At 34.7% G+C, this 19,098-nt stretch overlaps 1 protein-coding gene across 22 annotated transcripts in view; it reads right to left on the reverse strand.

Annotated features, from left to right (window-relative positions):
• The window catches only part of TBCK (TBC1 domain containing kinase), a 275,085-nt gene that overhangs the window by 140,076 nt on the left and 115,911 nt on the right, over nt 1–19,098 (reverse strand). For 21 of the 22 annotated variants that reach the window (XR_001741353.3, XR_007057984.1, XR_007057982.1 and 18 more), the window contains 2 exons: nt 13,044–13,080; nt 11,935–12,096 (listed from right to left, as the gene is read on the reverse strand). Coding sequence is in view for 17 of the 22 variants with exons in the window: in NM_001163436.4 (NP_001156908.2) it covers nt 11,935–12,096; nt 13,044–13,080 (199 nt within the window). In the remaining 5 variants the exon portion in view is untranslated. Of the gene's footprint in view, nt 1–11,899; nt 12,097–13,043; nt 13,081–19,098 lie in introns of those variants that run through there. The other variant, XM_047416427.1, reaches the window with a different exon arrangement.

Consider the following 19,098-nt stretch of genomic DNA (forward strand, 5'->3'; position numbering starts at 1 on the left):
TTGTAGATGTGTGGTGTTATTTCTGAGGCCTCTGTTCTGTTCTATTGGTCTATATATCTGTTTTTGTACAGTACCATGCTGTTTTGGTTACTATAGCCTTGTAGCAGAGTTTGAAGTCAGGAAGCATGATGCCTCCAGCTTTGTTCTTCTTGCCAAGGATTGTGTTGGCTATGTGGGCTCTTTTTTGGTTCCATATGAAGTTTAAAGTAGTTTTTTCCAATTCTGAAAAGAAAGTCATTGGTAGCTTGATGGGGATAGCATTGAATCTATAAATTACTTTGGGCAGTAAGGCTATTTTCACAATATTGATTCTTCCTATCCATGAGCATGGAATGTTTTTCCATTGGTTTGTGTCCTTTCTTATTTCCTTGAGCAGTGGTTTGTAGTTCTCTTTGAAGAGGTCCTTCACATCCCTTGTAAGTTGGATTCCTAGGTATTTTATTCTCTTAGTAGCAATTGTGAATGGGAGTTCACTCATGATTTGGCTCTCTGTTTATGTGTTATTAGTGCACAGAAATACTTGTGATTTTTGCACATTGATTTTGTATCCTGAGACTTTGCTGCAGTTGCTTATCAGCTTAAGGAGATTCGGGGCTGAGATGATGGGGTTTTCTAAATATACAATCATGTCATCTGCAAACAGAGACAATTTGACTTCCTCTCTTCCTATATGAATACCCTTTATTTCTTTCTCTTGCCTGACTGCCCTGGCCAGAAAGTCCAAAACTATGTTGAATAGGAGTGGTGAGAGAGGGCATCCTTGTCCTGTGCCAGTTTTCAAAGGGAATCCTTCCAGTTTTTGCCCGTTCAGTATGATATTGGCTGTGGGTCCGTCACAAATAGCTCTTATTATGTTGAGATACATTCCATCAGTACCTAGTTTATTGAGAGTTTTTAGCATGAAAGGCTGTTGAATTTTGTTGAAGGCCTTTTCTGCATCTATTGAGATAATCATGTGGTTTTTGTCATTGGTTCTGTCTTATAATGTCTTATGACATCGAACTATCCCAACAATAACACAATGAAATTATCACTGTAGAAGAAGACTGAAAATTATAAAGTTCCTTATCTTATTAGTGGAGAAGAAAGTAGAGGGAATAAAATATGCATATTATGAAGCACTCTCTGTAAGGTAAGGTCTAAGGACAATACTCTGACACCTTCAAGTTGACAGCACATCTATCACTACTTAATGTACTGACATAAAATAAAATTATAGTGGATAGAAATGGCATAGAATTAGTCTTCCAACAAAGAATTAATAACCTTGAGTAACTCACTGATCCACGTTTAAGGACTGTTAGTAGTAAGTATCAACTACACTTCAAGGAATACAGCATAGAATGTTATTACTTAAGAGAGAATTCTAAAATATTAGAAATCTCTCAGGACTTTGTCATATAATTTATTTTGGTAAAGAGCTAAATTCAATAATACTCTTTTACCACATTCTTGAAGTTATCCCTGGACAGCTGCTCTCTTTCTACTGCTTAGAATCATAGCATTTCAGGTGGCCAATCCATCTTCCATACTACAGCCAGAATCATTTTTCTAAAATATAGATAGGATCATGTCATTTCTGTGCTTAAAACTTTCCAATTGCATATAAAATAATATCCAATTTCCTCAGCATATCATGCAAGGCCCCCATAACCATTCCTCTACCTATTTTACCAACTTTTATCACTACCACCAGTACCACCACCCCAGCCCATCCACTTCAGGTTTCTCTCTCTCAACCTATCCTCTACTAACATCCTATTTACAATAAGACAGCCATGAGCCTCACATATCTGTGTTATCCTTATACTATTTTCTAAGCTGCCAATGCTTTCTCTCCATCCTACTACAGAGCTACACTATGTCTTATTTATTTTTATGGCCCCAGTGCATAATACTGTGCCTGTCATATAGTATTTATTAAACATGTAATCAGTGAGTAAACTTACATAGGTCTCATAGAAAGTGGACACAATTTCCTGACCAGCAGTTCACACAATTTGTATGCTTCACATCTCAAAAACACTAAAGAAAGTTGGTGAGTTTTCTTATTGCTAAACATTATTGGATGTTTTCCAAAAGTAATTACAATCTTGCTTTGCTTTTTTGTTCCAAACATAGTATTTTTCACAAGTCCCACTTACTGCAGTTTAGTCTCACTGACACCATTAGTAATCTATACAACATTTTTGCATTATTTGTCCTTGTTATGATCCTTCTCATGTATTTAGCTGATTCATGCTTCAAACATCATCAAGATCACAAAAAATCCCTTTATGCTCCTAGCAGGTATTGAGGAAAAAAAGAGCCATTCTAAATATGCCAAGAGCATTATAATTCTCCCTAATAAGTGAAATATTTTTATGACAGCCTAACTTACTAGGGCTTCACCAAAGCCTAACTGACTACAGGAAACTTTAGACTCTGACAAGTAAGATCTTGAAATTATACTTGTCATTTTGTCACTAAAAATCTCTAACAGTGCCTCAGCTTCTAAATCTAGCTGCCCCGTAATATCTTAAGCATGTATCTAAAACTTAACTCACTATCTTTGTCAGTACCATGCTCACTCATTTCCTAATATGTTCCCATTACCCACCTTGATTAAAATATAAGGAATACTTCCATACACTAAACATTCCACTGGAGATTCTATAGAGAAATTCTAAAAGGGAAGTTGAATTATCTAACTGAAAATATTAGAGAACTAATACACAAGGCAGTCAAGTGACTTACCAGGACAAGGGAGTAATACCCTATGTATTAATAATTAAGATAACCCAAGTTAGAAGTATCAGTCACACTTACAGATTACCACTGGATCATCTTTAAATAATTATGCATGAATATTCTGTTCTGGTACAAAGAAATAATAAACCACCAATAAGACTAGTCGTATACATATATAGAGATACATGTGTTTTATATATATAGATACACCCACTCCTAGAAGTCAACAGATATTTAAATAAATGAATATAATTTTAAAACACAATCTTCTTAGTTAATGTCTAAGGAGAAAAGGATGGTACAATATGTTACCGGGCTCCAGATATAATTCACCCAGCCTTTCAACTCTGGTATATGTGCATGCAATTACTGGCACATTTTCCTAAGCATCTATCATTTCTGTTGTTTAATACCTACAATGAAATGAGAAATAAATAGGAAATGCAATACATTACTGATATATGGGTAAACTGTTTTCTATTCTTAACATAGTTGTCTTAATGAGTTAACAGTTGAGTAGGTAGATACTTTGATGCAAAGTATCTGTATCTACTCTACCTATAGAGCAGGTATTTGCAGCAGCTTGGAAAATTTAGCACTAGGTCAGTTGCAGCCATCGTTTTCTCTCTTTCTTTTACACTTCACGGTGAATCAGAACAAAACAGGAGTCTTTGATTTTTGTGGCAAGTAGAACCTTGTTCCAAGTTCAATAAGCAGTTTTCGTATGATTGATAATTTGCACAGAAGGATTAAAATGGCTTGAAATTTTAAGTAATTAAATGTGCTTTCTTGTAATAAAAATATTCTAGTCATTCCCTCTATGCTATAAACACTCTGGTATATTATTTCTATAAATACTCTGGTATATTATTTCTCTTTTCTCCTATCTAGTCTATGTGTATGTGTCCATATGTCTAGTGTATGTGTGTGGTAAGAACACAACATGAGATTCACCCTCTTACCACGAAATTTTAAGTGCACACCATATCATTAACTGTATATTAATTGTTGTACAGCAGATCCCTAGAAATTATATCTTGTATAACTTTATACTCACTGAACAACAACTTCCCATTTCCCACTACCCATGTTTAATCATTCTATTTCTGCTTCTATAATTCTGCTTTAGATGGCTCATATAAGTGGAATCATGCTGTATTTGTTCCTGTGACAAGAACTTACATTTTTTAAAAGATTCCATGATGATTCTAGAACAACACCCTCACATGTTAATGGGAAGACTGAGACCTAGAGAAAGGAAAAGGATCACAACATTGTGAGCAGCAGCCTGGGTTCAGGAAGCACCCTTTCTTTCATTCTTGTTTTTCCAACTTTAATTTTAGGTTCAAGGAGTACATGTATGGGTGTGTTATATGGGTAGGTTGCGTGCTGCAGAGGTTTGGTGTATAGATTATTTCATTACCCAGGTAATTAGCATAGAACCCAATAGGTATTTTTTCGATCTTCTTCCTCCTCCCATCTTTCATCCTCAAGTAGGCCCTGGTGTCTATTGTTCTCTTCGTTGTGTCCATGTGCACTCAATGTTTAGTTTCTACTTATAAGTGAGAACATGTGGTATTTGATTTTCTGTTCCTGCATAAGTATGTTAAAGATAATGGCTTCCAGCTCCATCCATATTGCTGCAAAGGGCATGATCTCATTCATTTTATGACTGTGTAGTATTCCATGGTGTATATGTATCACAATTTTCTTTATGCAGTCCACCATTGATGGGCATTTAGGTTGATTTTATGTTTTTGCTATTTTTGAATAGTGTTGTGATGAACATACACATGCATGTGTCTTTATGGCAGAATGATTTATAATCCTTTGGGTATATGCCTAGTAATGGGATTGTTGGGTTGAATGGAAGCTCTGTTTTAAGTTCTTTCAGAAATCTCCAGAGTGCTTTTGACAGTGGCTGAACTAGTTTACATTCCCGCAGGCAGTGTATAAGGGTTCCCTTTTCCTTGCAACATCACCAGCATCTGTTATTTGTTGGCTTTTTAATCATAGCCATTCTGACTGGTATTAGATAGTATCTCATTGTGGTTTTGATTTGCATTTCTCTAATGATTAGTGATGTTGAACATTTTTTCATATGCTTGTTGGCCATACAGATGTCTTCTTTTGAGAAGTGTCTGTTCATGTACTTTTTACATTTTTAAAGGGGTCATTTGTGTTTTCCTTGTTGGTTTAAGTTGTTTTTAAGACTCTGGATAGTAGACCTTTGTCAAATAAATAGTCTGCAAATATTTTCTCCCATTTTGTAGGTTGTCTGTTTACTCTGTTGATAGTTTCTTTTGCTGTGCAGAAGCTTAAAGAGCTTAATTAGGTCCCACTTGTCAATTTTTGTTTCTGTTGCAATTGCAATTGCTCTTGAGGACTTAGTCATAAATACTTTCCCAAGGCCCAGGTCCAGATTGGTGTTTCCTAAGTTTTCTTCTAGGATTCTTATTGTTTGTGGTCTTATATTTAAACCTTTATTCCCTCTCGAGTTAATCTTCATATATGATGAAAGGAAGCGCTCCAGTTTCAATCTTCTGCATACAGCTAGCTAGCTATCCCAGCACCATTTACTGAATAGGGAATCCTTTCCTCACTGCTTATTTTTGTCAACTTTGTTGAAGATTAGATGGCTGTAGGTGTGTGGCTTTAATTCTGCGTTCTCTAACCCATTCCATTGATCTATGTGTATGTTTTTGTACCAGTACCGTGCTGTTTTGTTTACTGTATCCTTGTAGTAGAGTTTGAAATTGGGTAGTGTGATGTCTCCAGCTTTGTTCTTTTTGCTTAGGATTGCTTTGGTGATTCGGGCTCTTTTTTGGTTCCATATAAATTTTAGAATATTTTTTTCTAATTCTGTGATAAATGTTGTTGGTAGTTTGATAGGAATAGCACTGAATCTATAAATTCCTTTGGGCAATATGGCCATTTTAACAACATTGATTCTTCTGATCCATGAGCATGGAATGTTTTTCCATTTGTTTGTGTCATCTATGATTTTTTTTTTTCCTTTTTTTCTTTTTTGAGATGGAGTCTTGCTCTGTTGCCCAGGCTGGAGTGCAGTGGCACTATCTTGGCTCACTGAAACCTCTGCTTCCCAGGTTCAAGCTATTCTCTTGCCTCAGCCTCCTGAGTAGCCAGAATTACAGGCGCATGCCACCACGCCCAACTAATTTTGTATTTTTAGTAGAGATGGGGTTTCAACATATTGATCAGGCTGGTCTCGAACTCCTGACCTTGTGATCTGCCCACTTCAGCCTCCCAAAGTGCTGGGATTACAGGCATGAGCCACTGTGCTCAGCCATCTATGATTTCTTTAAGCAGTGTTTTGTAGTTATCGTTGTAGAGATCTTTCACCTCCTTTGGGTAGATGTACTCTTAAGTAATGTATTTTTTTATTGGCTATTGTAAGTGAGATTGTGTTCTTGATTGGGCTCTCAGCTTGGACACAGTGTACAGAAGTGCTACTGATTTATATATATTGATTTTTTATCCTAAAACTTGGCTAAAGTTTTCATCAAATCTAGGAGCTCTTGAGCAGAGGCTATGGGGATTTCTAGGCATAAAATCATACCACTTGTGAAAAGAGACAGTTTGATTTCTTTTCTTCCTATTCGGATGCCTTTAATTTCTTTATCTTGCCTGACTGTTGTAACTAGGACTTCCAGTACTATGTGGAATAGGAGTGGTGAGAGTGGGCATACTTGTCTTGTTTAAATTCTCAAGGGGAATATGCATCCAGTTTTTGCCCATTCAGCCTCATGCTGGCTGTTGGTTTCTCACAGATGGCTCTTATTATTTCAAGGTATATTCTTTTGATGCCTTAAATCTCTCTCTTAAATTTAATACATTTTGGTCCTTACATTCTTATTGCAATATCTATCAGCAGTATATGTAGGGATATTTTAAACAGTTTCTGACTTTTAAAGGTTTTTGAGGTTAATTACTTTTAATCTACTTCAAAAGTGAAAAATGCTCTATATATTTTGTTTTGCAAATCTAAGGCACATATAAACATTCAATAGTAAAGCAAATATAAACCTAATGCCATCATTGGTATCTTGAAACAAAATATGCTTAATAACACTGATCTAAACTATAAGATAATTTTTGGACTGCTCAAAAAATTCAGAAAGCAGGAATCCTTTCACAAACCAGAAACCCTTATCAACCATAAAACAAGCAGCTCTGCTATAGAGAAAGGCCTTCCTATCAGATTCTTGACAATTTGGGACCAGGTTTAAGATGTATAAGAACTCAGATCTACTCTAAATTTTCAAGATAAGTAAAAATTCTGATCACCTCTAACATTATTTTTCATTACAGTTCCCAATACGTACGAAATATTTCTTTTAAACTTTATAAAGTATTTACATGTTGCAAAATTAGTTGTATGCTTCAAGAGCAACAATTAGGTTAGTGTTATGTGAATTCTTTCAGCTTCCTAGAATCACGTTACAATTTCAGAGTCTTCATCAGTCATGCTCCTGGCTGCTATTTTCATGACCATTTATTAGCTTGGAGGTGATGTATTGTAATATCTGTTTTTAAATTTTCCCCTTTTCCATAAAATAATGCAGTATTTCCACCACAAACAAGACTGACATAACCTGAGGTTTTAAAAGTAATTTTTCATAAAGTTTTATTTCAGTGACTATACACCATGCCAATATAAACAAATTAACTACTTTCTCACTTATCCTTAACTAATTTTAAACTCACAAGACTTTAATATGCCATCCAGATTTTAATGTTTATATGTAATTTTTACAGATGGGTGGGGGAGAGAAGGACCACTGCTAAAACCTCCAAATTTAATTTCCATTTTGATTGTCCTTTTGCAATTCCAAGGTGTACTTAGAAACAGACATGCAGTGAGCCAAAATTGTGCCACTGCACTTCAGCCTGGGTGACAGAGTGAGACTCCATCTCAAAAAAAAAAAAAAAAAGAAAAATAGACATGCATGACATGCATGAATATCATGTAGCTACAAGCAGAAAATGGGAATAATTAATTCTCAGCTTCAGGTAAAGTGGCATCAATCTTACAGGCTTGACAATACAAAACTTTCACTGAACAACTGTGTACTACAGTTGCTCTACTCTTTCACAAATCATTTCTCCATCCCATATCTGGCTATAAGCCAGGGAGAAAAAATGATGGATAACTATTGGGAGCACTTATGTTAAGAATCCTTTGCTTCACTCATGATAGATCACCTTGAAAAAAATGTAGAGAGATCAGAAAGCTCTACAAATATTAATATCAATTATAGCATTCGTATTTTGGTACCTGATGTTATTTTAAATACTTATTTCATTACTTCAAAAATACTGAAAAAATATCTCAACAAATATATTTTTAAAAATCTTTAATGTGGCCTACAAGATGCTGCATGATCCTTCTTTGTCTACCTCTCCATTCACTTTTCTAGCCACTCCTCTCCACTTTCCCATTTGCTCCAACTTCCTTCAGCTGTTTCAGGCCTTTGAGCATTTTATTCCCTCTGTCTACAAGATTTTCCTCTCTTTCCACTCCCCACTCCCCAATATCACTTAAATAATTTCAAATATTATCTTAGGTATCATTTACTTAAGAAAAACTGCCTAACTCCCTGTTTTAAACTCCTATTGTTTTCTGCAGTATTCATCACCATGATAACTATTTAACAAAGAGGTCACAAATTAGTAGCCTACTGGCTATAATAAGCTATTTGATTAAGTCTTATAGTTTCAAAAATCTAAGCCACTGTTTATAATGGAAAGATTACACATAAATCTTACAGTAACCCTATTTAATTTATATTTATCCCTAGATTACAATAAAAAACTATTGACTGAAAACCCAAATTGTTTCCCATTTATATACTTAAACATCTCTAAAATACTTTAAAAACTTTGGATATAAATGTAGTATAACTAAATTTACTTGGCAGCACTTTTGCTTTATTAAGATAAGTACTGAATAATGGAAAAGTTATAGTAGTCAACTGTCCACTCATCTGATGGTGATATTGAACCACAACATTGATACCTGCTTTCTTTGCTTTGGTTAAGCATTTCATGAAAATATAACTGCTGCTTAGATGAATATGAACATTTGTTTTAGCTAAAACTTCACAATTACACTATATCTCTGACTAAAATAAGTTTTACTTCAAGTAAACTCAAAGCCTTATTGTTTTAAGAGACCAAATAAATTCTCTCAAATTCTATGCTACATAAAATATAAGTGTGAAAATAAAATCAGAGGTCACCAGATTCTTGTCCTACTTATCCAAATACACGCAGAACACATTCAATCTAAACATATGAAGAAGAAGAACTTTTTTTTTTTTCTTTTTTATGGAGACAGAGTCTCACTCTGTTGCCCAGGCTGGAGTGCAGAGGCGCCATGTCGGCTCACTGCAAGCTCCGCCTCCTGGGTTCATGCCATTCTCCTGCCTCAGCCTCCCAACTAGCTGAGACTACAGGCGCCTGCCACCACGCCCGTCTAATTTGTTGTATTTTTAGTAGAGATAGAGTTTCACCATGTTAGCCAGGTTGGTAAGAAGAACTTTTAAGTACATACAAAATTTTCTTAAATAGTCAGCTCTCTATATCTATGGGTTCTGCATCCATGGATTTAACCAATTGCTCAGTGAACATATTTGGGGAATAAAAATGAATGTCTGTGTCTGTACTGAGCATGACGTTTTTTCTTGTCATTATTCCCTAAACAATACAGTATAACAACTATTTACATAGCATTTCCATTGTATTAGGCATTAGAAGTTATCGCGAGATGATCTGAAGTATAAAGGTGGATGTGCATAGGTTACATGCAAAGGGACTTGAGCATTTGTGGATTACAGAATCTGGGGGAGTCCTGAAACCAATCCCCCATCGATACCGGGGGATGACTGAACTTGTATTTCACTGAATATCTTGCTATAAAATGAAAATAGTATTATTCATACATACTTTTAACAGATAGAATGCTCATCAGTTAAAAATATCAAATTTGTGCCTACTGTGAACATTTGAACTTATTTATTTGAAGTTTATACTATTACTAATAAATAATATTTTGTTCAGGAATGAGGTGGTAATGTAAATGGAAAGGAAGAAGACATAGATAAGCTAGGCAGCTTTGAAAATATGTGGAAAATGTCATTCCTGTTCATCCAGTTAAGTGCTTTAATAGGACCTATCATCAATGCATTGAGATGTTAGGAGCAGGGATGCTGGGACTGAATTTAAGAGTTATTAATATAAGATGAAATATCTTGGGTCTTTGCATGTAGGATAACCTATTTATAAGCAAAACAGATTAATTATTTCATGGAAAGATGAATTTGCAGTAAGAGCAATTAAGCAAAGAAACCCAATTGTACCAGCTGACACTACATCAACTAAATAGATTTCATTCCTATTTGAATAGCATGCTCTGAACAACATGAGTGTTTAATAAGGTTTGACAGATGTTATGATATAGTGACTAGAAAGGATAAAATTACCAGAATTTCATTTTTAAGGCCTAAAACAAGCAAGATAACATCTCTTGAATGATCATTAGTAAGAATACTGTACAATTCCTTTCAGTTTTGAATTAATCGAGAAACTTTATTCTAATCTTATACCATCTGTAAAGTAAACCCAAAGCAGGCAATTTTAAAGACATAGAATAATTTTTCCTATGGAATTAAGACAGAAATATGTCAGTCGACCATAAAATACACAGTTGCATGAATTTTTTAACAGACAAGCAGAGTTGCCACTAATCTCCCTATAAAGTATAAAAACAGATGCTTCACCAGTGTTTAACAGGAGCATTTATGTATTGAATTGGAAAGGCAATACATTTGCTTGATTTGAAAATGTACAATCAGCATTCCTAATATATATATTTTTAGAACTGGCCAGAAAATGTATTTTAATCCTAATCAATCATCTTATGTTTACTTTGGCAAGCTGGAAATGACAAGAAATCATCTGCATAATATAAACAGTATTCCCAGTTTGCGAAACTAGCTTATTTATTACTGTTCAAAACAAAAAAATAGATAACTTGATTTTCATAATCTCCCAGAAAAAAATATGACCTAAACTATTCATTCATAGTAAGAAATAACTCACTTTAATTAAAATTTGATAAGTCAGAAAGCTGATGATAATAGTTTCAATTTTGAGGGAAGGGGGAATAAAAAGTTTTAAATAAATCCAAGGTATTTTTCTTATTATTTTCCCACAAATGATAAAAAATTTCAACAGAGAGGCGGTAAAGTACCAAGTACAGATCATCCATTAAACATAAAAATGAGGGCTGGCAGTAGGTTTCTTATTTTTCTTGAGAGTAATTAATAAAGACATAATCTTAAGGGACCTTCCTTTTGTTTTTTATTTGGTTTTCAGGCAAATTTGATTCTGGGATAATTTTAAGTGTGTTTATTATCAGCAGTAACTTGGGCCTGCCTGAAAATATGGAGAACAGCACAAGGGATGCTGTCAATAAAGTACTGTGAAGTTTTTTCACCTAAAAAAACTGAAGTTTCTGCAAAAATATAGATTTAGTTACATCCTAGGTAACGACATTAATTTCATCTTTTTACCCATAGCTTCAAAGCTCAGACTATAGTTATCCATATTTCTACATTTAAGCATTCAACTCCTAGGTTTACAAACTCCTTACTTGTGAATACTCTATATAGCTTAACATATTCTCCTGCATTGCATGACATAGATGATTTGTCCTCCCAAGAGGGCAGTATTTCCTTTTGTCAAATCGTAAAATTGTTAGCAAGCAGCTTTGGCTGGGAGGCAACAAAGTTTTGTGAATTGTATCTTTTTATAAACACAGATTCTTAAACACCTTCCCAAGTGGCCTTTCTATACTTTCCATCACTGAAGAGAAACAGCCCCTGTCCTAAGCAAAAGAGCAAATATGATATTGCCCCCAACTTCCTGGCATTTTACCCATTTAGTAGCATTACCAAGATGGAAGTAAATCACAGTGAGCGGGTATGACCCAGATTTGTATTTACAATGCTGGGTCAGCAGAAGAAGCAGTATATGAGAGAAAGAATCCAGAGAGGATGATGAGGCCCAAACAGAAGAGATGCTGAAGGCCTGGATGGTTATTTTTGCCAATGGCTTAAGAATGTGTCATTATTTCATAGTCAAATTTCATTTAATGGCTCCATTTATTTAGATCTATACCTGGTAAATCGGAGAAGAGAAGAATACACTCATTAAAGCCATTAGCCAAAAGCCGGTCCCGCAGCTGCTGAAGAATTGCTACTCCAATACAGAATGGGAAAGAGGAATTCCCAAGTAGTAAGGTATCCCAGAGGTGGAAAATTTTGTGTAGTGGAAATACATCTGTAAAACGATAAAAATACAAATAAATTAAAAAACCAAAATAACAATTAAAACAATAACAACTTACTTTACTAGTTCTATAATTATTACCTTATGGTCAAAACTATTACTTCAGAGCTAATACTACCAAACTCTTTTTATGAAATGTTTATTTGGCTTTGAAAATTTATAGCTTCCTAAGGCATCTTAAAAAATTGATAATCAAACAGATAATATTTTTAACCCTATTAACCATTCATAATATTTCTTCCCAGAACTTTCCAGTTATATTATTCTCACAGATTTATCTAGATGAACTTTAGTGTTGTTTTAGGTACAGTAAAATAACGTATCTATTATATTCTCTAAACAACTGTTTTAATAAATTCCCACCAAAAATCCTATGAGCAACTTCCTATTTTTTGTAACTTCCTTTTTCTTATTAACAATACTATGTATATCTTCCAGGCCACTGCATAAATATCTACTTCAAATATTATTACAGTTACCATGTAAACCATATTTTATTAGTAAGGATGTCCACTTTATTAATATTTGTAGCAAATTAAAGTATTACGCATTCACATAATCTGCTTAATTTCTAGAGGAATCCTAGTTTAAAAAATAAAAGTTACTGAAGAATCTCTGAAAATTAAGCCTGATTTGATTGTAATAGTTGCCCTTATAAGCTTTATGTAAATATTATAGTTAATTTTTTTTCAAAGGGGGGCAGAGTTTGTACAAATATCATGAAATGTCCAATAGGTTTTTATTTTATAGAATTCTCACTTTGATATTCAGGGATCAGAACAACTGAAATTCTTTTCTACCTAACTCTATTATGTTAGAAACACATAAAAATACTTACTAAATCTGCTCAATGTTATTGTAAATATAAAATATGGGGAGGCATCGGGCTGTCCTTTTGCTAATACAATATCAAAAAAACCGGGGGAAGTCATACTTACGAGTAAACATGGTAAGAAACCAAGGGATGGCATAGAGCTATGAGTGGAAAAAGGGGTACAGGGAATGGATAAAAAGGAAATAAAAAAGATAATTAGAATGATTACCAATAAACTAAATGGTAAATGTAAGTTCTATGTTTTGGTCTACTTTATTGGTTAAAATAAAAGAGAATGTAGTGTTAAGTTTAGCCTAAAGCTGCCTCCTTAAATGTTTTAAGTTCGGCCTAAAGATTTCTCCATACATAGTGAATCATATCTAACTGGATGTGTAAACAGACTGTAGCAAATGCTGAGCTGTAACCAATCTAGCTGTTTCTGTACCTCACTTTTGTTTTCTGTATGTCACTTTTCTTTTTCTGTCCATAAATCTTCCACCATGTGGCTATGCTGGAGTGTCTGAACCTCTTCTGGCTTGGGGGCTGCCAATTTATGAATTGGTCTTTCCTCAATTAAACTCTGTTAAATTTAATTTGTCAAAGGTTTTTCTTTTAACATAGGTAATTACAGTTATTACAAATACTCTTATATAATGATACTATCCACATTACAAATGTAGATGACTCTTTTGGCAAAGATTATTCACAGAATGTCTTTATTTCACCAAAGGATAGACTCAAGACCATGGCTAATCCAAATGCAATGCTGGTATACTAATTTCAAGGGTATATTTTACTTTACAGGTTTGTACAGAATATTTCTGAGATTTTAAAGATCCTTGTGTTAGTTAATTGACTGCATCAGGTGATACCTAGGTATCTGGTTAAATGTGTGTGTTTGTGTGTGTGTGTGTGTTTGTGTGTGATGGTGTTTCCAGATAAGATCAGCATTTGAATCAGTGGACTCAGTAAACTGTCCTCTCCAGTGTGGGTAGGTATCATGTAATCAACTGAGAGCCTGAACAAAACAAAGGTAGAGGAAGGAGGAATGTGCCTCTTCTTTTCTACCTCACTGCTTGAGCCGGAACATTTCATCTAATCTTCCCCTGCCTTTAGACTGGGATTTGTATCACCAGCTTCCTGGTTCTCAGACCTTTGGAATCAGAATTACAAACACCTCTAGACTCTCAATTATACCACTGGCTTTCCTGGGTATCCAGCTTTCAAACAGCATATTGTGGGATATCTCAGCCTCCATAAATGTGTGAGCCAATTACTCATAATAAATCTCCTCTATCTATGTTTATATATCTCCTATTGGTTCTGTTTCTCTAGAGAACCCTAATACAGTCCTCATAAGTTTTGAGGTACTCTTAATTGTATTTTTAAGAATTAATTAGATACTTTTTAAATGTTCAAAATGTCTCAATAAAAGGTATTATGAAGCATGTGCTTTTTGTTACCACTTAATTAACAGGATGCTTCATAACAGACTAAAAGTAATAAGATCTAATATTACCATTATTAATAATTTGACAAATTTATTCTCCTAAGTTTACTACCTAGAAATATATACATACACACATATATAGCTATATATATAGTATATATCGTTCTATATACACACATATAGACATATACATTTTCAAATTTTAGAAGGTTTTAGAAGTGACAAATCATCCTTAATTTATAAAAGTAGAGTAAAAATCTCCTTTGTCAATAGCAAGTATCAAAAATCAACAATAATTTACTGAAAAAGCACTAATTTTATTTCACTTTATGAGTTAATACAGGCTGCTATTAAAGACTTCTTTACTACCTACAGGGTTAGTTTAAATAAATATTATTTCAGCACCTAGCAATTATGAATTTATGAGTAAAAGGTGCATATTGTCTTTGCATTTCACTCAATTGAGTATTTATACTATCAAGATGACAGTCAAGAACTTTATAAGTATATTAAAATCTAAGTACTACATGTGAAATAAAACCCACTCATCTCCACCATATCATCATTTTTTATAGGCTGACATTTAGATACATTTTTCTAGGGACAATATAAATGGAAAAAGGAAAAAGTACAAAGGTATATGACTTCACTGTAATGAGTAAGGGTTGTAGAAAACAATAAAACATAAATTGTTCATTTAAATTTAAATTAAAAAATAAAGTCAGCAAAATTAGTTTCATTGCTATTATTCAACATCTCTTTTAAAGACACGACATCAATATTACCTTCTCCCTTTTTGATGAAAGCTAACTGTCATTAAGAATCTTCTTCAAATTATTTCAGCAACTAGCTAACAGTGCCTTTCTCCTATACTAGTCTTTGTAATTAGCTTCATCAAGATCTATGGAAGAATTCTGCTTCTGACCAAGGTGGCATAACAGGAACCAGATTTACCTCCTGAACTGAAACACCTAAAAATCAGACCAAATATATAAAACAACAATTTGTACATCTTAGAGAGTGGTACCTGAGAGAGGAGAAACAAATGAAATGAACCCTAAAATTGCCCAATTTACTGCATGCAAAGAAGTTCCAGGCCACTGACAGGGAGGAAGAACCCAGAAAGAGCTTGGTGGTTGTCCTAAGCTGAATATGCAGAGTAGGAAATCTGGGGAGATCAAGGTGGCTATACTCTTCAGGAGAGTGTCCTGGAAGATTCTGCCAGAGAGAGAGATGCATAGAGAAAGCTCCAGAAGTCTGCTGAAGATTCCCCTCAAATCTTTGCTAATTACTGAAGAGTGTGTGTGTGTGTGTGTGTGTGTGTACACAGAAAACATATCTGAGTGTGTGTGTGTGTGTGTGTGTGTGTATATATATATATATATATATAATACAAAGTAGGGCAGAAACCACTTCAAATGATCAGAGTGAAAAAATGCCAAGATCATAAAATGCCAAGAAGAGTTCATTTTTTCACTAACCAGAATGAAAACAACAAAACAAAACAAAACAAAACAAAAAAACACCCACAACTGTTATAAACAAGGCATTAGGGAGAGTAGTCAGAAGAGCATTGCTTTAGTAATGGAGGAAAATTATGCTCCAAAACCAAGCTGCTCTGGCCCCATTAAATAAACCTTAAAAGCAAGCCTTGAAAGGATCAAATTGTTTCAGTGTAACTTAACTGCACCCAATCACACTCATGGTCACCCCCAAACTGCCTCTTTTTTCTACCAACACCATTATTATAGTCACTTAGGTAGAAAAATCTTAGGTATAAAAGTAAGTCTGATAGATATTATTTTTACAAGGTCTCTTCAGTCTTCTGTTTCTATCCATTCATACTGAACTAATCTTGTTTTGGTTCTCATTCTTCTTTCATGGACTACTGCAAATGTTTCATAGTTGTTCAGGTTCTACCTGGTCCAATATTTCCTTTAGCCAAATTGATTTTTCTAAATATGCAACTGTGATGACATCATTCCTCTGTTCCACCACATCAATATGTTCCCACTGCATACCAAATTAAGTACAATTTTGTACTCATGCATTTAAGGCCACTGTGAATTAGTGAAAAAGCCAAGGACTTGGAGTCAGAAAACATACAACTGAGTTTTGACTCTGATGATTACTGGATAGCGTGCCTTGGTCAAGTTAGTTAACCTCTGTGAATCCCAGATCTTCGTTTTTGAAATAGGAAAACTAATGTCTGTCTTAACTATGTCATAGAGATGGTGTGATGTGGAAATAATATATGTGAAAATGCTTTGTAAACAGTAACAACCTGCAAATTTAAAGTAGTATTATTATTAATATCAGTATAAGAAACTCTAAATTTCTTTGCACCTTACTACTTCCCTACACATGTTCTACTTCCTGAGAAGGCAGATTTACTATGATCTGAACACACTACTTTCCTAACGATGCACTTTGCATTTTCTTCTTTGAATGCTCCTTCCTGATCATTTCCATCAATCCAAAGCTCTACAAGATTTTTCCAAGCCTGCCTCAAATGCCACTTGTTCTGTGAAAACTTTTTGTATATTTTTTATGATACCTATCCCACTATGCTTTGTATCATATATAATATAGTTGTATTATATATAATCATGGTAATCATTTTTATATTATAATTACCTATCACAACATACTTGTACTATACTTAATTCTGGGTATATTCATTCACTCTTTCATTCATTCATGCTTGCTTTTGTTCATTTATTCAATATGAAATGCTTTGTGCTAAATGCCACGTGTCCCACTCTAGCAGAAGAGTCAGACATACGAACAGATACCTAAAATGCTTTACTATTAAGTACGACAATACAAGTTCTGGTATAAGGTAATGGCAGCAAAGTTACAGGAGCTTATGGCCTTTCCTATCATATTCTCTGCAGGAGAATGATAGGATTCTTGTGAATAAATGTTATTTTACTCATTTATTCATTAATTCAATATTTACTAAGTGCCTAATACATGCCAGATCTGTGTTAGGTGATAGGCTATAGCAGTGAACAAAGCATAGTTCCAGGCTACAGGGAACTTACAATAAGAGCAGTAGATATTCATTAAATAGTCTCTCAACCCACTCTAATCAAGTTCTTGCCTCCACCTCACCACTGAAACTGTTCTTACCTTGGTCATCAATAATTTCTATGTCATTAAATCTAATGGCCAATTCTCAATTGCAATCTTTCTTTACCAATCAGCAGGATTTGACAAAGTTGACTATTCCCACTTCTTCAGAACATTTTTTTCCCTCCACTTGGCTTCCAAAACACCATACTCACCTAGTTTTGTTCTTATCTTTCTGATTGCTCCTTATCCATCTCCTTTGTTGGTTCCTCTTCCTCTCTCTCACTCTCAACCTGGAGTGTCCCAGGTTCAGTTCTTAGATACCTTTTCTTTTCTTTTCTATTTTTCTCCAAATAACTGTGTAGTTTGAGGACCCTATTTCAGCTCCATCCCTAAACCTCTCCTACAAATTCTGAAACTGTATATCCAAATGCCTGTTTTCTCCACTTGCATGTCTAACAGATACACATATCCTAAAACGAGCTTCTGAGACTTCCTTCAAAATCTATACCTCCAAGTAGTTTCCAAATCTCAGTTAGAAGCAACTCTATCCCCTTTCAATTGCTCAGGTACTTGACTCCTCTCTTCCTCACACACTGTATATTTGTCACCAGTAGTCCTGCTGGCTCTACCTTCAAAAGATATGCAGCATATAAAAACTTCCCACTACTTCCACTGCTAATATCTTGATTCGAGCCAACATTATCTCTTGCCTAGACTATTGCAATAGTCCATGACTAGTTTCCTAGATTCCATTCTTGCCCATCCTTCGATTTTTCTCAGCATAGCAGCCAGAATGACCTTGTTAAAATCTTTACATGAGACATCACTCCTCTGCTCAAAAGCATCAGTGGCTTTCCACCTCTAACAATAAAAGCCAAAGTCCTAATGATGATCAACAAAACTATGTAATATGGCCCTCTATTACCTATTTGACCTTATCTTCTTGTTCACTGTGCTCTAGTTACAATGGTCTACTGGCTGCTCCTCCACATCTCTGATATGCTTCCACATCAGGGCTGTAGCAACTGCTGCTGCTTTCGCTTGGTTTGCTCTTTCCTTTGCTTTCTTAAAGCATTTATTCATAAGTCAACTTTTCTGTGAGGTTTTCTTGGTTACCTTACTTATTTCAAAATTCATGGCCAGGTGCAGTGGCTCATTCCCACAATCTCAGCACTTTGGGAGGCCAAAGCGGGAGGACTGCTTGAGCCAAGAATCCAAGACCAGCCTGGGTAACATAGGGAGACCTCATGTCTACAAAAAATTTAAAAAGTAGATGGGTCTGGTGGCGCATGCCTGTGGTCCCAGCTACTTGGGAGGCTGAGGAGGGAGGATTACTTGAGCCCAAGAGGTTGAGACTGCAATGAGCCATAATCACACCACTGCACTCCAGCCTAGGTGACAGAGCAAGACCCTGTCTCAGAAATAAATAATGAAAATTCAATCTCTTCTTTACCTGAGCACATAACATCCATACCTCTGCTTTAGCTTTTTTTTTTAAATTAGAACTTACCACTACCTACCATATAATATATTTATCTTCATTATTGTCTATTTACTCTAGAATATGAGGTCAGATATTTTTGTCTATCTCTTATTTTATTGCTGATATATTATCCATGGCATAGAAAAATGTCTGGCACATAATAGGCAC

Source organism: Homo sapiens, chromosome 4 (genome assembly GCF_000001405.40).
Source record: "Homo sapiens chromosome 4, GRCh38.p14 Primary Assembly".
In the NCBI taxonomy this organism is placed as follows: Eukaryota; Metazoa; Chordata; class Mammalia; order Primates; family Hominidae; genus Homo; species Homo sapiens.